The 21,596-nt window shown below is 39.1% G+C and overlaps 1 long non-coding RNA gene across 1 annotated transcript in view; it reads left to right on the top strand.

The window, feature by feature from the left end:
* The first annotated feature begins 325 nt into the window (after positions 1-325).
* LOC107986945 (uncharacterized) overlaps positions 326-21,596 on the top strand; it is a 52,355-nt gene continuing 31,084 nt past the window's right edge. Inside the window, exons 1-2 of the long non-coding RNA XR_007060915.1 lie at positions 326-608; positions 4,893-5,026. This is a non-coding gene — a long non-coding RNA (uncharacterized LOC107986945). The remainder of the gene's footprint in view (positions 609-4,892; positions 5,027-21,596) is intronic.

Below are 21,596 nucleotides of genomic sequence, written 5' to 3'. Positions count from 1 at the left end.
AGCAGCAATAGAAAACTAATACATTCACATACTACAATGCACATGAGAATGGACTCATTTCAAAATTATTCAAAAAAATACACAAGTTAGCTAGCCACAGAACACAGCAGAACATCTCTTGCTGAATCAGCTTTATTTTTGTAGCAACATATTTGGAACAGGTACTTTTGTATCTGTTTCTGCCATCTGTGATGCCTGAAATCATTAGAAAAAAAAAATCGTGTGTGGAAGGAAGGAAGCTCTGAGGGATTTCATTGGGTTACGGTTGCCAGGGAAACCATTTGACTTGGTAATCAATATGTTCAGTATGTCTCTGTTGCTGTGTGCTTAATTCCTACTGATACCATTGCAGAGTGGATCCATGGAAAACACTGGGTAGGAAAAAAAGAAAACCTTGAAATATTAGCTTCAATGAAGGAAAATCTGGATAACTTATTCTTATGAATCTGAAACAATTTAAGAAAACAAATGACTGCTTGATTTTTGTGCCAATTGAATAGAATGGGATTCAATTTTTAATAGCAAGTTGGCATGGCTAAGTAAGGTCCCTGGGATTCTCTTGCAATGCCGTGAAAGCAAAAGGACAGCTCTCCTAACAAGAAGCCAAGGTATTCTTTAAAAATCTCTTTTTCCAGAATGTTTTCCCTCAGAATTGTCTTTCAATTATAATAAATGAAAAAATGAAACAGTCTTATAGTTTTTAAGGATCCAGCTCAATACAGAGGATTAAATTCTATTCACTGTCACATAGAATCACAGATTTCTTTACACAACTGAGGAAATGAAACCCTACAGGGAGCAAATAACTTACTACTGCTTGGAACTTCGGGAAATGGAAGAAGTGCTGCGGGAGGGACTTGGAGCACCAGGGGGCTGTGTTGCATGTCATGTTTTGAGGCCGTTAGAGGACTTTTTCTTAAAGAAGGTAAAGTTGACTCTTGACTACTCGGCTATAGCTTGCCTATCTCAGGTTAGCAGATGGTAATATGAAAAGAGCAGAAGTGGGACAGAGTGACATGATGACGCTCACTGTGGTAACACTTCCCAACTTATCAAGGGCTGGTTCTTGAGGCACATTTTTGTTTTAAGATCATATATGCTCAGTTCAAGTCTCAGAACCTGAGGGATTTAACACTTGCACATCAGTGCAGCTGCTTTTACTTTTTGCATTTAAATAATTTTGAGATATATTATTGTGAGAATGATTAAATTTGAAATTATCTTGGTAAGGGAGGTAGGCAGGCAACAAAATGACACAAAGTGATGAAATAAAGAGCAAACATAAAAAAAAGTGAAAATCCCTCTAAGTGGAGAATTACAAGTAGATAAACACATGTTATATTATCTATGTTTGTTCAATTCAACAATAATTTTACTTTTACGTTAGGTTTTTTTTTAGCTCAATGAAATTCTTGAACTGTGTTATGAAAGATGAAGTGCAGGGAAGAATATATTGATCTAATTTATCTTTCAAAAGACAACAGCTAATAAATGTAAAAGACTAAATTTAGATTTGTACATAAATGTACATAGTAAATGATGAAAAAATAATGTCAAAATATTTAAGTGGAGAAACACTAGCAATAAGATTTCAGGACCGTTTAAAGAGAATAAAAATTGCTTTAAAGATATCACTTAAAAGATACACAGTTATATAGTTCCCACATGGGCGTCCCCTAGTTTTTTCTGGCAGCTACAGCTTCTGAATTAAAAATCAGATGTTTCCAGATAATATTTCTGGTTCTCACAGAAGACAAAAGCTGTTGTTTGGACCCATAATGACTTGAAGATATGGCTCTAGTGATTGCATTCTTTGAATATTCACATGTGTCTATCACTTTAGGCATGTTGCTGCTTCTATAAGAGCTATATAAATCCACAGTTGGGAAGTGGCTTTAACTTCAATTCCCTTTGACTACATAATCCTAAATTCCATCCATTTTATCTTTACTCAAACACCATACTCATTTGCTGTAGTGGATATTTCCTTACCTGTCTTCTGGGACAGTAAGTTCTTATGAGTAGTATTCACTGATGAACTCTTTCAGAGAAGGATTTGTTGGTTGGAGAGTGGCTTCTCTGGGGCTCTGTTCTTACAAAAAAAGCCCACAAACTTACCTCTCAAACTTAGCTCTCTAGTGAGTCTTAATATCTCCTTTGAGACTGCTTCCAAAGCTTGAAAGAAGAACGGAAAATCAAATTATTGTATCTTATTATTTTTAAATAAAATTTATTTTTAGAACAGTTTTAGATTACAAAAAATTGTGGAGATAGTACAGAGAGCTCCTCTATATATAGTGTTCAGTTTACCCTATTATTCACATCCTAGTTTAGTATGGTACATTTGTCACAGTAAAACAACCAGTATGGACATGTTATTAACTAAAGTCCATACTTCATTCAGATTTCCTCAGTTTTTACCTAATGTCTCTTTTATATCCCCGGATTCCATCCAGGACATACGTTACACTTAGGTGTCATCTCCTCTTAGTTTTTTCTTGGCTGTGACAGTTTCTCAGACTTTCCTTGCTTTTGATGACTTTGACAGCTTTGAGGAGTCCCAATCAGGTATTTTTGTAGAATGTCCTTCAATTAAGATATTTCTGATATTTTTATTTTTATTAGACTCGGGTTATATGTTTTGGAGAGGAAGACTACAGCGCTGAAATACCATTTTCTTCATATCATACCACAGATACATAGTATCAAGACAACTCATCACTGCTGGTTTTTACCTTCATCACCTGGTTCAAGCAGTGTTTTTCAGTGTTCTCCACTATGAAGTTATTCTGTGAGGGTACTTCCAGAAGACACTAGCATTTGAGTTGATGGACTGAGTAAAGCAATTGTCCTCCCCAGTGTGGGTAGGCACCATTCAATCTGTTGAAGGGCATGCATTGAACAATTTTTTTTTTTTTTTTTTTGAGACGGAGTCTGGCTCTGTCGCCCAGGCTGGAGTGCAGTGGCGCGATCTCGGCTCACTGCAAGCTCCACCTCCCGAGTTCACGCCATTCTCCTGCCTCAGCCTCCTGAACAGCTGGGACTACAGGCGCCTGCCACCACGCCCGGCTAATTTTTTTTTTTTTTGTATTTTTAGTAGAGACGGGGTTTCACCGTGTTAGCCAGAATGGTCTCGTTCTCCTGACCTTGTGATCCGCCCGCCTCGGCCTCCCAAAGTGCTGGCATTACAGGCGTGAGCCACCGCGCCCGGCCACTAAGTAAGCTCTTTATTATGCTTATCTTTATTTGTGATAATTGTTGGTGTTCTGAAGTCTGCTTTATCTGAAATTAATATATCTACTCCAGTCTTTTTTAAAAAAATTAGTATTAGAGTGTTGTATCTATTTCTATCCCTTTACTTTCAACCTATCAGAGTCTTTATATTTTTTTCATTTTAAACGGCTTCATTTATTTCTGAGTTTTTATTATTAAAAATAATTTTGGCTGGGCACAGTGGCTCATGCCTGTAATCCCAACACTTTGGGAGGCCGAGGCAGGTGGATCCTTTGAGGTCAGGTGTTTGAGACGAGCCTGGCCAGCATCGTGAAACCCTGTCTCTGCTAAAAATACAAAAATTAGCTGGGCATGGTGGCACGTGCCTGTAATCCCAGCTACTTGGGAGGCTGAGGCACAAGAATCACTTGAACACCAGAGGCGGAGGTTGCAGTGAGCCGAGATGGCACCGCTGCACTCCAGCCTGGGTGAGGCTCTGTCTCAAAAGTAACTAAATAAAATAATAATAATAATAATAATAATAATAAAGTCACAACATGCTTGTATAGGTCTTCCTATATACATGTGTAAGACTTTTCTCTAGAGTTTATGCCCAGAAGTAAAATTATAGGGCATGAACATATTTAGTTGAATACTAACAAATTTGTTCAAAGGATGAGAGTTCCAACTTCACCAAACATCCCAATAAACACTTGATTTCGTTAGGCTTTAAAATTTTTGTCAATATATTTTGATAAAAATTGTGTCTCATTTTTACATTATATTTCTTGATCATTAATGAAATCTAATAACTTTTCTTATGTTTGTTAAGTATTCAGCTCTGGGAAAGTCTTTTTTTGTTAGAGAGTAGACTTTGTTAGAGAGAAACCTCTTGACTTACTTCATCATTGTTACTCTTCCCTTCACCCTGCTAGACACATCAAAGGGCTTTCTTGGGTTTTTACCGTGAAAACTTAGTGAGGTTCCTGGACTTAAAGAATCGAAGTGTCCTCCCCGGCCCAACCCCGCACAAGACTGTTGCCCCCAGGAATTTCTCACTCTCACATTAGACCATACTCAACCAGCCTCCAGCAATTTATCAAAGCTTTCATTTAAATGTTCTTTCTAGTTTCTGGCTCTTGTGGCTTCTGCTGTAGGTAAGCAGATCTCAGGTGTGACTCTCTAGATTCTCCTGTCTTTTCAGATTTCAGAGTAGGGGTTTGCTTTGCAACCTCAGTTCTCTGATGAGTCCAAGAAAGGTCATTCCTTTTCCATTTGTTCCATTTTTACTTATGTTAAGGATGAGAGTGGTGACTTCTAACCTCATTTCATGTCAGAGCTAAAACTGGAAGTGGTTTTTCTATCTCTTTTATTAAACCTAATCTTTGGTCGAAGTCTGTACCTATGCAATTGAAGCTAAAAAGAAAAGAAAATACTACTAAGTAATTATAAACAACTATTTTCAGTGACATTTTGAGTCACTGAAATATGACTAAGTCACAGTCATATTTTCTTATCTTCTTTACAGAAACCTACAAGGTGAAGTTTAAAGAGCTCTTGAACATGTCCCCTTTTTTCTTTCCCTCATTTCCACTACAGTTTGTGTCTTTGGTCTCTGGTTCACTGGGGTTTAAATTCAGAAAATTGACAGTTACTAGATTTGTTTCTGGTATTCATAGATTGCTACAGGAGGCTGAGGAGAGGAAAAAGCCCTTTTCTCATCACCATTGATTCCTTCAGTCTCCATGATTTCCTCTCAAGAACTGCCATTTGTTGCTGTAGATGGCCCAGTTGCAGACGTGCCTGAGTTCAGGTAATGCAATTTTTTTTGTGGGGGGGGGGGGCATGGGGGGCGGAGTCTCGCTCTGTCACCCAGGCTGGAGAGCAATGGCACAATCTCAGCTCACTGTAACCTCCGCCTCCTGGAAACAAGCGATTCTCCTGCCTCAGACTCTTGAGTAGCTGGGATTACAGGCACCCGCCACCACACCAGGCTAAGTTTTGTATTTTTAGTAGAGACGGGGTTTCCCCATGTTGGCCAGGCTGGTCTCGAACTCCTGACCTCAGGTGATCTGCCCGCCTGGGCCTCCCAAAGTGTTGGGATTACAGGCGTGAGCCACCGCGCCTGGCCAGATAATGCAATTCTAAATGGTCCTCTGTCACTTCCCCTTCACAGCATCTCTACCTTTGTGTTGCTGATGTACATTTTTATCTTAAATTTGGATGGAAATTTTTGAACAGTGAACTAAAGACAGTGTGTTCCTCCTTGAGAGCAAAGGCCTCTTTAATCCTCACTCTCATAATGAGATTTTCTTTGTGAGATGAAGTTTCCACCTTTTCACAAAAGTTCAAATTTCCCATGAAGAAATAAGAGTCCAAAGAAATGCCCTAGCTCAGGAGAAAGCCTAAATGTGCCGTGGCTCCCCCCTCATGTGATAGAGTGATAGAGCATCACTTAATGCTTCCACCCATTTCACCTCTCAGACAAACAATATCCAGTCTTTCCATTTTCTTTCTCTTTGTTCAGCCTGGACTGGCTCTCTGATATCATGTTAGAGACTCTGGCTCATTATGCACAAAATGAAGTGAAAGAAAACGGCTTATTGCAGAGCCTCCTTTGCTTCTGGTAAAAGTGTGAATTACAAAGGGCTGTCAAAAAATTAATCTTATATACATATTGCGAAGAAACTTGATGCTGAAGTGCTTATGATTAGAAATTCATTATAAAGCACATATTTGTGAGTAAAGGGACTTTCCTTTTAAATAGCATTAAATATAATTCAGTTCCCATTAACTTTCCAAAGCTGCTAAAAGTACATTAAAATATGAAAGTTCCTGGAGTGTACCTCAACTTCAGATTTTCAAATGCTAATGCCTGTCTTGGAGACTTTAGAGTATAGTCAGGCCTGAGGAACTTGTTACGATAAGGTTGAATAGGTTAAAAAGGTGATGAAAAAGGAGAGGGATAAGAAAAAATGAGTAACAATATGTTGTTATTCATCCAGAAAATTTCAAAGATGACTATGTCTCTCTATGACAAAGAATGTAACAGATGAATATGGTGATGACAATTATGAGTAACTGGGCTCACGATTTACACAGGACCTTTCTTCTGGTGACTTAGGCTCCGAATCACAACCACAGGCATCTTCCCAGTGTTTCCATGAGCAGAGCTGGGGCAGGTTGTCTCTCATGCTTGCAGCTGCAGAAGTGAAATTCTCCCTACAGGTTTGCTTATCAACCCATATTTTGGCTCTTGCAATTACATTTATCATAGCCCCATATTTCCTAATCACTGCTTTGCAAGCAGCACTGGTCCAAGATACAGTTTTCACACATCCTTAAAAAAAAAAAAACTAGTTTTCATGAAGCCAAATTCATTGAATTTGAAATGCTGATCTCTACATTGTGACTATGTTCTTTCTGCTTTTTTGATTCTATAAAACTGATTTTTTTTCTTGCTTAACAAAATAAAATACTTTTTTTTCTGGCTCTAAACTTTTTTTTTTTTTTTAATTCATGGGTCTTGAAATCCCAAAAACTATATTACTGGTCCTTAATCCCCAAATTGGAATATCAATACTGACTTGCCTCACAATCAGAAGCAAGTAATGAAACACGCAGAAAAATACCCACATGTATTAAATAGGTAACACTTGTCTTATTGATGTTTCTAAGGGCTTGGTTATTATTTGTTGGACTAATTTGTTGTTCTGGCTACTGTATACTGAATACTTGCCCTTGGCCAGGCACTGGGTTAATTGCTTGACCCAGTGAATTATCCCGTGTAATCTTAAACACCCCCGAGTGGAATACCACAGTTATCCTCAATTTATAACCAGGCAGCTACATGGAAGTTAACTGAGCCACATGGAGGTTAACCTTTCCAAGGCTGCACAGCTTGAAGTGGAGAAAACAGAATTCAAAAGCAAGCAAAATTCAGAACTTTCCATGATAACCACTATATGGTTGTGCCCTTTGATCTTTTTATGTGGGAGCTATTTGGAAGATAATATAAACAAACAACAAGTTCAGTTAAAACAATCAATTGGGCACATAACCTATTGCATATGTTTTCTTATTTTTATGGGTCTGTCAAATTCTGGCCATAGACTGAGTTAGGATAATAATAATAAATGTAATAATGTTTATGGAGCTCTTACTACCTGTCAGGTGCTGTGATGATCATTGCGAATGGATTGTCTGATTTCATTCACACAACAATGCCTTGGGATAGAAAACTTTATTGTCTCTATTTGCAGATAGAGAAATGGAGGCTTTGACAGAGTAATTTGACCATGATGCCAGTGAATAAAATAAGTGCCTAACACCCTGTCAACAAAATCCAGTGCTATTTTCTCATGTCAATGCAATTAGAATATTTAGAGCACACCAATCCTTGTGCATGTGATTAGAATAAGAAAAGTGAACCAAATATACCTTTTTGAGGGAGAAACTTGTTGATTTTTAAAAATTCTAAACTACCTCTTCCTGATTTCTTGCTTCATTCATTTTCTGTTCTAAGGTTACACTCAAATTGTGTAAAAGCAGAGTCCTACTTTAATCCCAAGTGCCGTACACAGGTATCCTTGTCTGTTTTCTTTTTTAATGATAAAAAATGCAAGAATTACCTAAATCTATGAATCTGATATATTTTACCCACTTTTGACCTTTATCATTAATGTGGTGGACAGAACCCCAGTGAACTCCACCTCCTGGTGCTCACAACTTGTGGAATTCCTCTCGTGAACATGGACAGGCGTGTGATTTGCTCCTGAGCAACAGTATATGGCAAAAGTTATGGATATCCCCCTGTGATTAGATTATACTTCATGGCAACAGTAAAGGGAGTTACAACATATATATGCCTCTCATATTTATTTATTTATATTTAATTTATTTTTTTTTGTGGCCTTAAACTGCCAAATTTGTAATAGTTTGTTAAGCAGCTATAGGGAACTAATACAAATAAAGACCTGAGTGTACACTTACTTTAGATAAATTCTTCTGAAACTAAAGAATAAAATTATGTTACCAATAATACTATAAATGAATTGTCCATGCTCCAAGGTATGGCTCACCTCTCTACTTTGTTGACTAGATCCAGTCCCTTCTGCCCTTCTCAAGGGCATTGCTTCAGTAATTCTCCCCTCTCCTGCATTATCATTTTATTCTCTCTGTTAGATCCTTGTCATCTGCTAATGTGGTGGACTGATAATGGCTCCCAAAGATATGTCCACGCCCTAATCCCCCAGACCTGTGAGTGTTACCTTATTTGGAAAAAGAGTTTGTGTAGATATTATTAAGTTAAGGATCTTTCGATGTGGAGATAATCCTGGATTATCCAGATGTGCCCTAAATGTAATCACATGCATCTTTATAAGACAGAGACAAAGGGACATTTGAGATAGACACAAAGGAAAGAGGAAATGTAACCACAGAGGCCGAGATTGGAGTGATGTGGCCACAAGCCAATAAATATTGGCAACCACCAGAAGTTGAAAGAGGCAAGGAACAGATTTTCAACTATTCCCTCTGGGGGAACAGGGCCCTGCTGAAACTGATTTTAGACTTTCAGCATCCAGACGAAATGGTGTGGGACAATCAAAGACTGCAGAGACTGAAAAAGCTTCAGGAGAGTTTATTAAATTAAGGTGATCACCAGCTCAGCCGGACATACGTTCAGAAAGTCTGAGCCCCGAATAAAGGGCTTTTCCTACTTTTAAACATCTTAAGGCAGGAATTATGTGAAGCGGGAATCGAGTTACAGAAGCAAGAAACAAAGGCAGCATTACAACATTTCTTACATCTTGAGAGAAACATGTCTTGCAACCTAAACTTACCGGTCTTGTGACCCTGCAGCCGTGCAGGAACTCGCTAGGTCTGTAATAAACTCTGAGGAATGTGGAGTTGGGGAGTATAGATAAGGTCCGCTGTCCGCAGAGAGAAGACAGGCTGTTAATATTCCCTTTTAACTTGAGTGTAAGGTGGTGGGGGGGTCACACTTTGCAGCAACTTTAAGAGGATTTTAAAATTTTTGTTACTACTACTGTTAGGTTATAGTTGATTTCATTGATTCCTTCTTCACAGGGAGACAATAAATTTCTCTCGTAAGCCACCCAGTTTGTGGTAATTTGCTATGGAAGTCACAGGACACTAACGCAGTTGACAAACTTGTTATTTCTCATCTCATAAGAAAAAAAATTGTCTTTACTTCCTCCTCTAGCAACCACCCTTTTATTTTTTGAAAAATCCCTTAAAACAATTGTCTCCAGTTAAAGGCTTCAATTTGCCACCTCTCATTCTCCCTTGAACCTATTTTGCCTCTCTGTTGCTACTGAAATTCCTCCTCAATATCGTCATGATTTCTGAGCTGCTAAATGTGGGCATCTGGGCCTCTTGGCAAGTTGACACAGTGGATTGCTCTTATTTGAAATTTGCTGTTCATTCAGCCTCCAGGAGGGGACACAGGCCTGGTTTTCCTAGTCTCTCTTTCTTAGTCTTCTGTGCTGGTTCCACTTCCTCCCTTCAGGACAGGGCACTCCAGGGCTTCCCCCTATTTCCACTTCTTCCTTTGAGATCTCACCTATTCTCATGGCTCTAAATAACATCTGTTTCTAATGACTCCTAAGTTCATATCTATGGCTCAGATCTTTTCCTTGCATTCCAAACTTCTATATTCAATTGCTTACTCAACCTGTCTACTCGGACGGCTGTTCAGCATCTCAAATATATCCTGTCCAGAACTGAACTCCTGAATTTCACCAAGCCTACTTCTTCTTTAACTCCATTACCAGCCTTGCAATTGCTCCTGTAAAAATCTCTGGGGTTTGCTTTGCCTCATCCCCTTCTCTTATATCTCACATCCAATCCAACAGCCCATCTTGTCAGTTTTTCCCTGCAAAATACACTTGGAATCTAGTAATTTCCCATCAACGTTGTTGCTCACACTGTGGGCCATGCACCACCTTCATTTTTTACCTGGATCACTGTGGTCATTTCTTCAAGGTTTCTTTGCTGCCACCCTAGCCCTTTCTACACCATCTACAACATGACAGCCACAGTAATCCCATGATACTCTGAGTCAGGTCGTATTATGGGGCTGAGCACTCAATGGCTTCCCATCATACATCAGTGTTCTACAACCTGGGTGACCTCTTTGACTTTACTCCTGTTCCTCTGCTCTGCTTCCTTTACCCCTGCAATGGCCTCCTCACAGCCCCTCCCTGCCTTTCCACACAAACTCCTCCTTCACTTGCTGTTCCATCTTCCTGGAAGCCCCCAACTCTGTAACTTCATGCCTTGCTCCCTCTTTCCTTCAGATGTCACCTCAAAAGTTGCATTCTTGATGAGTCCTTTCCTGGCTACTTGGTCTAACATTGCTCCCCTCTCTTTTGTTCTCCTTGGCACTTACCACTGCCTGATACGTTTTTATTTTACTGATTTATTTTCTCACATTCCCACTAGACTGGAGACTTCTTGAGGGTAAGGAATTGGCTTTCATTGCAGCAGTGGCTGGCACATATTAGCACTCACTGAATATCTGTTAAATAAATAAGTATATGAACATGTTGCATTGAGTATTTTAAATAGTATGAAAGTGTGGGCAAAATAAATGCATTGTAAATAGATAAATTAAGAACAATCATCACAAAGTCCAACAGAGCTAAAGTATAATTATCATGTAATCTGCATGATGATTACAAATAAGAAAAATTGGACTCACACTTCAGATAAAAAATTTTTTGCCTCCTATGTGATGTAAAGCATTCACAGTTATTATTTAATGTGTCTTCAGGGTTTCTCTGGGAGGTGGGCCAGGGGCTTTATTTTTATTTCCTTTATTTAATTCTTGGAACTCCTTAAAGTGCTATTTGAATCATTCAGATTGTGGCCTTGATTGTGCCTCGGTTTTTGTTGTAGAGTCAAGGCCACTTGGTTCTTAGTAAACTAAAAACTATCCTCATCAGGGATCCAGGTGACCCTTATAATCTTTTGAGCAGAAACGCCAATTCCTGTCTCAGAGTTCAAAGTGGTTTTCCACAGCTGAGAGATTCAGCCACACAACACTGCATCCTGCCAAAATCAGGCTGCTACTCTGCACCAGGCATAGCATTAGTAGCTGTTTAGTCAACAGAAACTAACTGCAGTTTCCAATTAACAAAGGTCAAATAAGAGTGAAACAGTAAAAATCAATAGGATCGGAACAAATATTGGAGAAACACAATATTGCCCGATTCTTATGAATATAGAAAAATTAAAAATAAACAAAAAACAAAGCGTAGTTGAAGCCATTAAGGATACATCCATTTGTTCCTTGTGCTAAGTGCCTGTAGTCAGACAGACTGACAGGGTGGGAGAACATTGGGCCCATGACGAGACATCTTCAAAGTCCAGCTGAGAGAAAACCAGTTCAGGTTTAATATTGTTAAACAGCTTTGCTTTTCTGAGCATCTTTTCTCTATGCTACATTCTAAAACATCTAAATGAGCACATAGAGACTAAAGTAAAATATAAATGATTTTATATCACTATGTCTCATCAGAAGATATAATTTTCAGGAATTATGTTTTATGATGCAAGCTATGAGCCAATTGGGCACACATTTTCTTTTGTGTTTGTTGTTTCTTTATATCTGGGTCTTGGGGACTAATGGGTTTATGCCACACTAAGGGTCCAAAATAAATGTAGACTGAGCCACCTATGTACATTTGGGCACATTTGCTCACATTCTGAGGGCTTGCTAGCAATTCTTTTGTTTTCTGATGCACCTTTGCTTACTATGTGTTAGAATAAATATGCCTGGATTGAATGTTAATGATTTAATATTCTGGGACAATTGCAGCATGATATAAAGGAAGAGGTTAGTAAGAGGTAGATTGTAAGCTCTTAAGGCCAAGAAATGTATCTAAATCCTGTTTGTCTCCCTCACCAGCCTGTGAGCAAAAAGCAAATATGAATGTTGTAATTTCAGTGAAGAGTGAGCTGTGGCCTCCTGAAGGGGAGAACAGTAGGACTCGGAAGGAAGAAGAATGTGGAGGAAGCACATTGAGAAAAGATGTTTCTGTGCAGGCACACCAGCTAGTCTGAATTATGAAAATCCAAACATGGCCGGGTGTGGTGGCTCACGCCTGTAATCCTAGGCCTTTGGGAAGCCAAGGTGGGTGGATCGCTTGAGTTCAGCAGTTCGAGACCAGCCTGCGCAACACGGCAAAACCTCCTCTCTATACAAAGTACAAAAATTATCCAGGCATGGTGGGAGGATCGCTTGAGCCCAGGAGGTCAAGGCTGCAGTGAACCAAGTTCGCGCCACTGCACTCCAGGCTTGGTGACAAAATGAAACCATCTCTCTCTCTCAAAAAAAAAAAAAAAAGCCAAATAGGCACTGGCAAGTTTCAACCTGATGAAATTTCATTGCCATTTCTGAGTGAAGAGGACACCTGAGGAACTGACTGTTCCACTTACCATGAGGCAGGTACCATCCAGTGCCTATCTGTGTTTCTATGCAGACAGTGGAGGAAGCTGGACGCTCAGGTCAGTTTCACTCATTATTGGTGTTATTTTCAGCATTGCAGGGAACTGAACCATGGCCCTCTCTGAGCTCCAGGATAAGTTTTGTTCCAGGAGCAGTGACTTTGTATTGCCAAAGTTATCAAAGGCATCTCTTGTCCACATGAGGTAGGAGTGGTTCTCGGCCAGCTCAGAGGGATCTGAAGTGTGAGGTAATGGCACCCATACTTCCACCTTCCTCTGTGGACAATTAGGGGAGAGGAAAGAAAGCAGTAGAATATGATCAACAAGGCAGACACCTAATAAGCAGGAATGAATGCGTGCGTGTTTGAGTGAAAGAGTCAGGGACAGATAGGCAGAGATAAAGCAGAGAGACTTGCAGCGCTAAGATTTATGATTTGATAAACTCGAGTGTTTCAGAGTCCTGCAATTCAGTACTGAGACTAGAAGCAAGACTCTAAAGTCCAGCTGTCCCCATAGCACTCCGGCTTCCATCCACACAGAACTGATGTGTTCAATTTCTCAGCTCAGTGCTGTACCAACCATCGTGGCCATGGTATATTTCTAAGGAGGGAAGACTGGGAAATGATGACACTAGCTACTAAACCTGCCAATACTGCCATCAGCTAGTGAGCTGATTTCTTCTTCCCTTCACATATCCATTTTTCTTTCAACACTTGGTAGAAAAGAGCAGGTCAACCATCCGGTTTGGGCAAAAAGCTAAAGTTTTCTGATTATCACAGTGCTTTAGGGTAAAAATACACATGGGCCCTAAAGAATTTCCCACCTTCTCAGTGACTACTTGCAAAGCTTTTACCATGTGCCAAGCATTGGGCCTAAGGTAAATGATGAAGAGCTCACAACCACCTTAGGAGATGGGTTCTTTTATTACCTCCATTTCACAGTTGAAGTAACTGTCTTGTCCGTGGCTCTAGAACAGGTACCTGGAAGAGCAGGACTGAGCCACAGGGCCTGGGGCCAGAAGTCATGCCCTTAGCCACCCTGTTCAAGGGCTTCTCCATCTAGCAGCTTTTAAAAAAATTAGAAAGCATGAATTTTTTAGAAAGTAAAACAACATTGGAATATGTAAAGAAAATGCCAGTATTATCCTCCACTCCCTTAACCATCCACCATTCTAAGTTAAGCTATAACAATAGGTAGAACAGTCTCTTTCTATACCATTTTTACTCCATTTTCTATGAAGATGAACAATTGTAGGAATTTTATTTCTGTTTTGGTTTCGCAGAATAGGATAATACAATATGCACGATATTGCAGCTTTCTTTTTTTCAGATGGAGTTTCACTCTTGTCACCCAGGCTGGAGTGCAATGGTGCGATCTCAGCTCACTGCAACCTCTGACTCCTGGGTTCAAACAATGCTCCTGCTCCAGCCTCCTGAGTAGCTGTGATTACAGGTACCTGCCACAACAGCTGGCTAATTTTTTGTATTTTTAGTAGAGATAGGGTTTCACCATGTTGTCCAGGCTGGGCCTCAAACTCCGGACCTCAGGTGATCCACCTGCCTCAGCCTACCAAAGTGCTGGGATTACAGGCGTGAGCCACCATGCCCGGCCTAGGCTGTGTTTTTTTAAGTTTCTTTTTTGTCACTGGAACAATACTGAAAGACAAATTCTTTGCCCATCTGTTCATGAGAACTAGGATATTTGTTTCTATATGTAGAGCCCACAAATTGGAATTATTAGGCCAAGTGGTATGAAATTATTATGGTAAAATGTTAATGGATATTGATATATTTATGGTCATTTGGTCTCTGTCAGCAATATACAAAAATGTCTCTTTCTCTACATTTTCAAGACAACCAATATTTTCTGTTAGCAGATGAATTTCTCTTGCCAGAATATTTTAATTACAACCAGTGCCATTTCTTTTTTGAGTTAACCAGAAGTCTTACTCCCCAGGTGCATCTCATAGTTGATAGCAAAGACATTTCCAACCCAGCTACCCCAAATAAACAATCTTAAAAGAAGAAAGGTGTGTCCACAACTTGTGGTCAAGCCCACCAGCCTTGCTTCAATGGGATTGCCCCTTCTCAAGGCCGTCATAAGTGGAAATTCTGGAGCTGCTCCTCATACCCTGATGGTTTGCTTGAAATAGTATTTATTTTAGTCTTTGAGCAACACTTTTGTCTATTTTAGATAGTAGATTAAAGAAGTTCTTATTTTATAAGACTATGTCATCTTGGTCTTGGGGGAAGTCTAAACAAATAAATTTTATTTTTTAATTATGCCATATCCAAACAAGGATTTGGAGTGGGAGAACCTTATGGCCCAGACCTGGAAGATGGAACATCACATTCCATTGAGAAGAATCCATTGTCTCATGGCTAACCTAACTGCAATAGCTAGAAATGTGATCTAGCTTGGTGCCCAGGAAAAAGCAAAAGAGTACAACATGGATATTGAGTAACACTAGCATTTTCAACCATGAAGAGAGTAGAGTCGTTGTGAGAAAAGTATGTAAAGTTATCGAGGTAATCGGTGATGAAACCCTGACATGGAATGTAAATTGCTTGTGGTTGAAGACAAAGGAGAGTTTTGTGTTGGCCAGCTGGGTTGGCAGATATTAAAGCAAAGGAAGAATAGATGGCCTTAGTGTTGAGCTGAGACTCTTCATATAAGCTTCTCATCTTGACTGGCACCATGATGTACTCTGAGCAAATAATTTCACTTCCATAGGCCTCAATGTCTTTAGCTGTATCTTTACTTGGAACAGAAATAGACATATGTACTCTAAGATCACAACTCTTGACTGCTTGTCTGCTAAAAGCATTCTTGTCATGTTTTTAGATTGTGATATTTTTGCCTTTTTGGAGAAATTTGCAGACATATATTCCACAGTTACAAATAACAGTGACCAGTTCAGTTCCCTATGCTTACTTCCTGTCATTTGTACCTTTAAATTCCATTCATTCAAGGCTTAAAATGACATTGCCTTTTCTGTTTAGATTATTCACATTAGTCTCTGATAATAATACCTACAATTTATGGAGCCCTAACTCTAGACCAAGTTCTTTACTTAATGTATCCTCACAATAACCATTGGAGGGAAGTGCTGTTATTCCCATCCTCAAGATGAGGGAATTGAGGTGAGGAGATTGGGTGGCCTGACTTAGCATGCCACGTAGCTAGGTTTACGAAACATTTTCTTTGACCCGGAAAGAGTTTTAACAATGAGCACTGTTATTAAAAGTTCAAATTAGCCTTTCTATTTCTGGGTCTTACATTTTATCATGTATGTATCTATTATTTGTATTTCTCACTAGTATTTTAAAAATCTACAACTCTTGCTATCCTCAATGCTATTGTGTATAGTTATTTACCCAACTTTCTCACCCTTGTTCATATAATATTCAATAAATTTTAGAGAGCAAGTAATAATCTTATTTAAATCATTACTCTAAATATAAATATAAGAACCTTTACCTTTAATAAAATAGAATTGATTGTCTAATTGAAATTGAAACTGATTATCTTAAAACTTTAGGAGACAAACATTCCTGAAATGAGAATGTAGATGTCATTGCCTTGCTTTTCCTAACAAAACTATTCTTTTTAGTACTAGTTTATTTAATCTGGACTCCAAAACAATTTCCAGATGAATAATGATCCTAAAGAAAACTGAAGCTTTGGTCTTTATATTCATGATTCCTTGGGGATATTCCCTATAGTTGTTAAAATTGTTCTATAAGAAAACTGAAACTATAGTTGAATATTTTCAATCATGTGGAAATGTTAGATGCCTTTTTGAGAAGTCTGGTGGAGTTTACATAATCAACTAAATAGCTTTTATTTGCATGCTTGGATATTAATGTATTGGTATTTTGAATACTGGTTGAGAAACAACAGCCAGTATATTAATTCTGTCTAAAAAAGATACTTGCTCATATTTTAGCACATTTAAGAGGTAAATTTATAGCTAATTTTCTGTATGAAGAATTGCTTTGGCTTATTTATTGATATGCAGAAGAAATGTTCATTTTCTTTCCTTTAGAAACATTCCAAGTAAATGACTCTATAAATAATGAATTGCCCATTTTTTATGATACTTTTCCGTAGCTTTACTTAAAGCATAAATATTACTTATAAGAAGATGTATAGTTGATGTGTATGTTGCATGTGAAGCTCATTTGCTAAAACTATCAAAGTTTGCAGATTTAATCAGCATTCTTATGTAACATTGTCTATGGAGCTTTATAATCAGCAGCACCATAGGATATATAGTTCTTGAAACTGGGCCAAGTAAAAAAAGTTTAAATTGAAATTGTCATGTCTTTAGTGAAAATATAATTTTCAGAGTCTAATTAGTATCATTAGAATGTAGAGTTCAGACAAGTGCTACAACTACCATCTATTGTTCTCATCCAGATTTTTTTCCAGGTAATATATTCCTTTGATTCAGTCACTTCCTTACCTGGAAAGGGAGCCAGCCAAAGAGCTGTTTCTGCTATTTTCAATGATCACAATCACACCCCCATAAAAAACTCAGATAAAAAACATTTTGACTATAATAGTGCCTCAAAAATGAGCTGCTAAATTGCTGTGTTCATTCATTTCCTGGCATGAGAGATTCAAATTACTTTCCTATACTTTAAAATCAGTAAGAATTGTGTTGTTGAAGGAAAAGAGTAGCACTCTATGTTTATGCTTTTGTTAAAAAAGCATAAATATCAGCAATTTTTATCTTTGGGAAAGAGATGATTAAACTTATGAGGTGTCATGGAAGAAACAGAATAAGCTTACAATCGAAAACTCACATTAATATTAATGGCTGTGTCCTCACATTTGTGTATGAAGGTCTCATGCACAGGCCTTCCATTGCCATCACTTCACAGCTCTCTGATGTCTACTTGGCTTCCAGTTACGGTCTGGTAGGTATTTGCAAATATACATTTAAAAACAAGAAGCTCTGGGTCCAATACAAGGAACTAGAAAACCCGAGATTATGTATCAGAAGAAATCTGAAGAATTTAGGGGACAGTAAAACTGTCTTCTTCCAAATCATTCCGGAGGGGAAGCCTGTATTTCTTGTTAGAAAACAAACACCCTTCTTCAATAATATTTCTTGGCAAGAGTGCTTTTCTAAATTCAGCATTTTTCCTCAGAGCAGTTCAAAGTATTGATGTACACACACACACACACACACACACACACACACACACACATATTTTTAAAGTAACATCTAACAGAAAAGGCAGAAGGAATAGGGGACAGGGCTTTTTGTTGTTTCTTGCCCCTCTCACTGGGGCAAGATTAGACTGGGAAGGTAGCTCTCAGTTTTTGGTTTCAGAAGAATTAAGACTTTTGAGATTAGACATTTTTAGGTGAATTGGGATGGTATGCTGGAGTATACTAGATGTACTGTGTGGTACAGTTTTCAGCCATTTGAAAAGTAGGAAGAAGTAGGAATCATAAGGACAATGGTTCCCAAGTGCTTGTCCATCCGCACAGGTTTCCACAGAAGGACCCATTATAACAAAGGAACCAAAGGCATGTGGGAGCGGGCCCACAGGAATCACTGGTTCTCTCATGTGCTGACACCCAGAGCAGCCGCCTGACAGTGCCTTGGGATAGCCCGCTGAGGGTGCTGGGCCAACTCAGGGCACAGAATACAATTGCATCAAATCCCTGAATATGGTTCTGTGTCCATGATAGGAAGAACACATGGGTCTCAGAAATGGGGACGTGAATTGATGAGGCTCTGCTTACCATCACTTTCAGTGACCACTTAGGGAGCTTGTGCTTCCCATTCCCACAACTCTAGGTTATGGAAGTTTAGAAGTCCTGGTTCTTAAAGATAGATTATTTCCACCCAAGGACGTAGCAAGTGTTCTAATGAATTAGGGGCTGCTACAGCCTCCTGGACATTTCAGACCCTTTGTGCCAAGGAATTCCAAGCAAGAAGGGGCATTGATCATTATCATCAGGAGGAGGGAGGACTGCTGTCACACAATAGGAAGAGAGGAAGACATTTGGCATACAGGTGACCCAGTTGGGTGCTCTTTTGTATGGCCTTGCTCAGCTTTGAGGTGAAGAGACAGTGCAGCAGGCATGGCCTGAGAAGTGCATGGGGCACCAGGCCTGAGGCTTCTCAGGGATAAGAGACTTCATCATGCCACCAGGTAAGTCACCGGGAGCAGCAGCAGTGCTGCCTAAAGTTGAGGGAAGTCTAGAATGCAGAGGGCAGAGTGACAGTATCAGCCGCAGCCCTGAGACCTTGGCAGTGGCAAGGCTGTAGCTTATGCCGCTGACTTTCCTATTCTAAGCACACCCAAAGAAGAGAAGCCCTCTGAAACCCGGAAGGAGCTGTTTCCCAGGCTGCTCTAAAGCAATGGATTCCTGTGGTGCACAGCGTGGATTGTGGTGGGCATGGAAAGGAACTGCCCAGATTACTGTTGAAAGAAGGATTTGTGTCCCAGTTGTCAGCACAGCCGCCAACTGTCAGCTACTAAAGGGTTTGCCTCACCTGCAGGGTTGCTTCTTTCAAAGGCCCATCTAAGAACTGATTGAGGCAAGAGCATAAATTCCAGCCATTTCATCCCAAAGCCAGTTGACTCTGCTGGGCCATGTATGCTGCAGAGCTTCTTACTGGCTGAGCTGAGGCTGTGCTACGTCTGCATGGCGATTTGGCCTCTCCTCCTGCTCAATTCACTTCCTTTCCCTGTTTCTTGTTCACAGATGTTGATCCCCAGGAAATATCCAAATGCCAAACTCTGTTTCAATGTCTACTTCTGGATAACCTAGCTAGGTCATGTCTACTGCAGGATAACCTGCAACAAGTACAACTGCCTTCACCAGTGGCATTTAGCGTCTCAAAAATGTTTTTTTTTTAATCCCTAGTGAAAATTTTGACTTCAAATGGCACCTGATTATCATGCCCTTAATATAGACTCTCTGGACTTCCCTTAATATAACCATGTAGATGTAGAAAAGAAAGAATGCACAACATTGCTGATCAAACTCTTGCTGTGTTAGGAAGTTTTGCTAACTGCAAGGCCAGTGAAAATCGATTAAAATATTGGAGTGGTACAATAGAAAACCTAGCACAGTTTCCTTGGTATAATTATGCCATAATGCTGATTCAGCTGATGGAGCTAGCGTTGTCATAGCACAATTGCTTGCTCACCGATGTCTCAGCTAATATTTCATGTTTACTAGATGAGTGAAATTATGAAATTTCTAAAATAGGTACATTACTAAGCCTCACCTTGCTAAGCACCAATTGCTAGTCCTGCTTCTGGGTTTAGAGAAAGGTACACAGTGAGTCACTTGTTCCTCGTAGAAGTTTATTATTGGGGACTGGGGGCAGGGGTCTGTCTTGGATCCCTTTGGAGATTTAGTAAATGCTGTTGAACTCATCAACAGACAAATGCACACTTTCACGTATGTTTACATAAAACTATGTAGTTCACCTGTGTCCCTAGTAGGGACCCATGAATTCCTGCTTAAAGAATGGTTGCAATAGGAATTCAATCATTTTTAGTGTAATTTCCCCTTAACAGATATTTTTAAAAAATGAATACTGAATTAAGCAATTGTCTATTAGATGCTATTTTCCATTTGGTATTTTCCAGCTATTGTTCCTGGATTCAAATCCTGGCTCTGCCATTAACTTATACCGTGACCTTAGGCAAGTCATTGAACTTCTCAGTGCTTCAGTTTCCTCAGCTATAAACTAGGGGGGATAATAGAAGAATAACTAAGCATTTCACAGAGCTTAAAACAATGTGGGTTCATTGGATGTTAGCCATTGTTGTGGTTGATGGTGTGGTTGGGTAACCCTCTGTTACTCCTGTTTTGTCACAATGAAGATTAAAATGTACTTTTTAAAATTAAGTACATTTGGATAATTTGTAGAGAAAAGGCCATTTTAAATTCCATACCTCACTAGAATGTTCCATTATTTGGGACAGTGTACAGATATGAGATAATACACACTACTGAGACGATGTAGTAAATAGGACTTTGTTATCCCATGGCAAACTGTGGAGGCAGGTTCTGTGAGTGTGCTCCTGCAAGGCTGTAAACTTCCTTGATGCAATACCAGAGAGTCCAGATGGATTGGACTTCACTTTCCATAATTCAAGTTAAATACTTTTGCAGAGGGAACTTGCAAGGATTCTGAAATCAAATTGACAGTAGGAGTGAGCCATTTTCTGAGCCCTCAAAGATTACATGAAGCTTTATAAGATGGGATTTAGGGGGTGGGTTCTCTATTTAATACAAGCCCTAAGAAACCTCAAATTTATCCTTGGGATAATGTGAAACAACACCATTAAGATACAGATGATCTTTTGATTGAAGAAAATCAGGATCAAGAAGGGAAGATTAGTTATATTATTAATAATATAGCCTTCGATTTTAAATATTTTATTTTGTTCTGAAAATAAAGGTTTACTACATATGATCTATAACGGAAAATTTGGAAATAAAACTAGGGGTTCCAAGGGCTTTAAGATTATCCAGGAGCACAGAAATAAAGTGGCAGAGAATACCATACCTCATTTTACATCTTGAGGTAAATGGAAAAGAAAAATTGCTATAATTGGATTTTCTGCAGACATATCAAGAATATCCCTTGTTTTTGCATAAATGTGCCTGGGTCGTTAATCATAACCTAGGAACTGCATCTCACCTGAAAACCTAAAGATCTTCCTTTGGCCATACACCAAATGAATTGCAAAGGCATAGAATATTTGGTTTTAAATTCCCTACGTGCTTGTTATTGACTCATCTCTGAACATATCCAAAAATAAATTCTACTTATCCAAATAGTGAGCATTATTTTACCCTAAAACATTTTTTTTTTCTTGGCATCAATAGTACAACCACTCTCCTCACATGTTCCCAATGGA

This window comes from Homo sapiens, chromosome 8, assembly GCF_000001405.40.
Source record: "Homo sapiens chromosome 8, GRCh38.p14 Primary Assembly".
Lineage (NCBI taxonomy): Eukaryota > Metazoa > Chordata > Mammalia > Primates > Hominidae > Homo > Homo sapiens.
The sequence above is the reverse complement of the archived record's forward strand: the minus strand, read 5'-3'. Positions and strand labels throughout refer to the sequence as shown.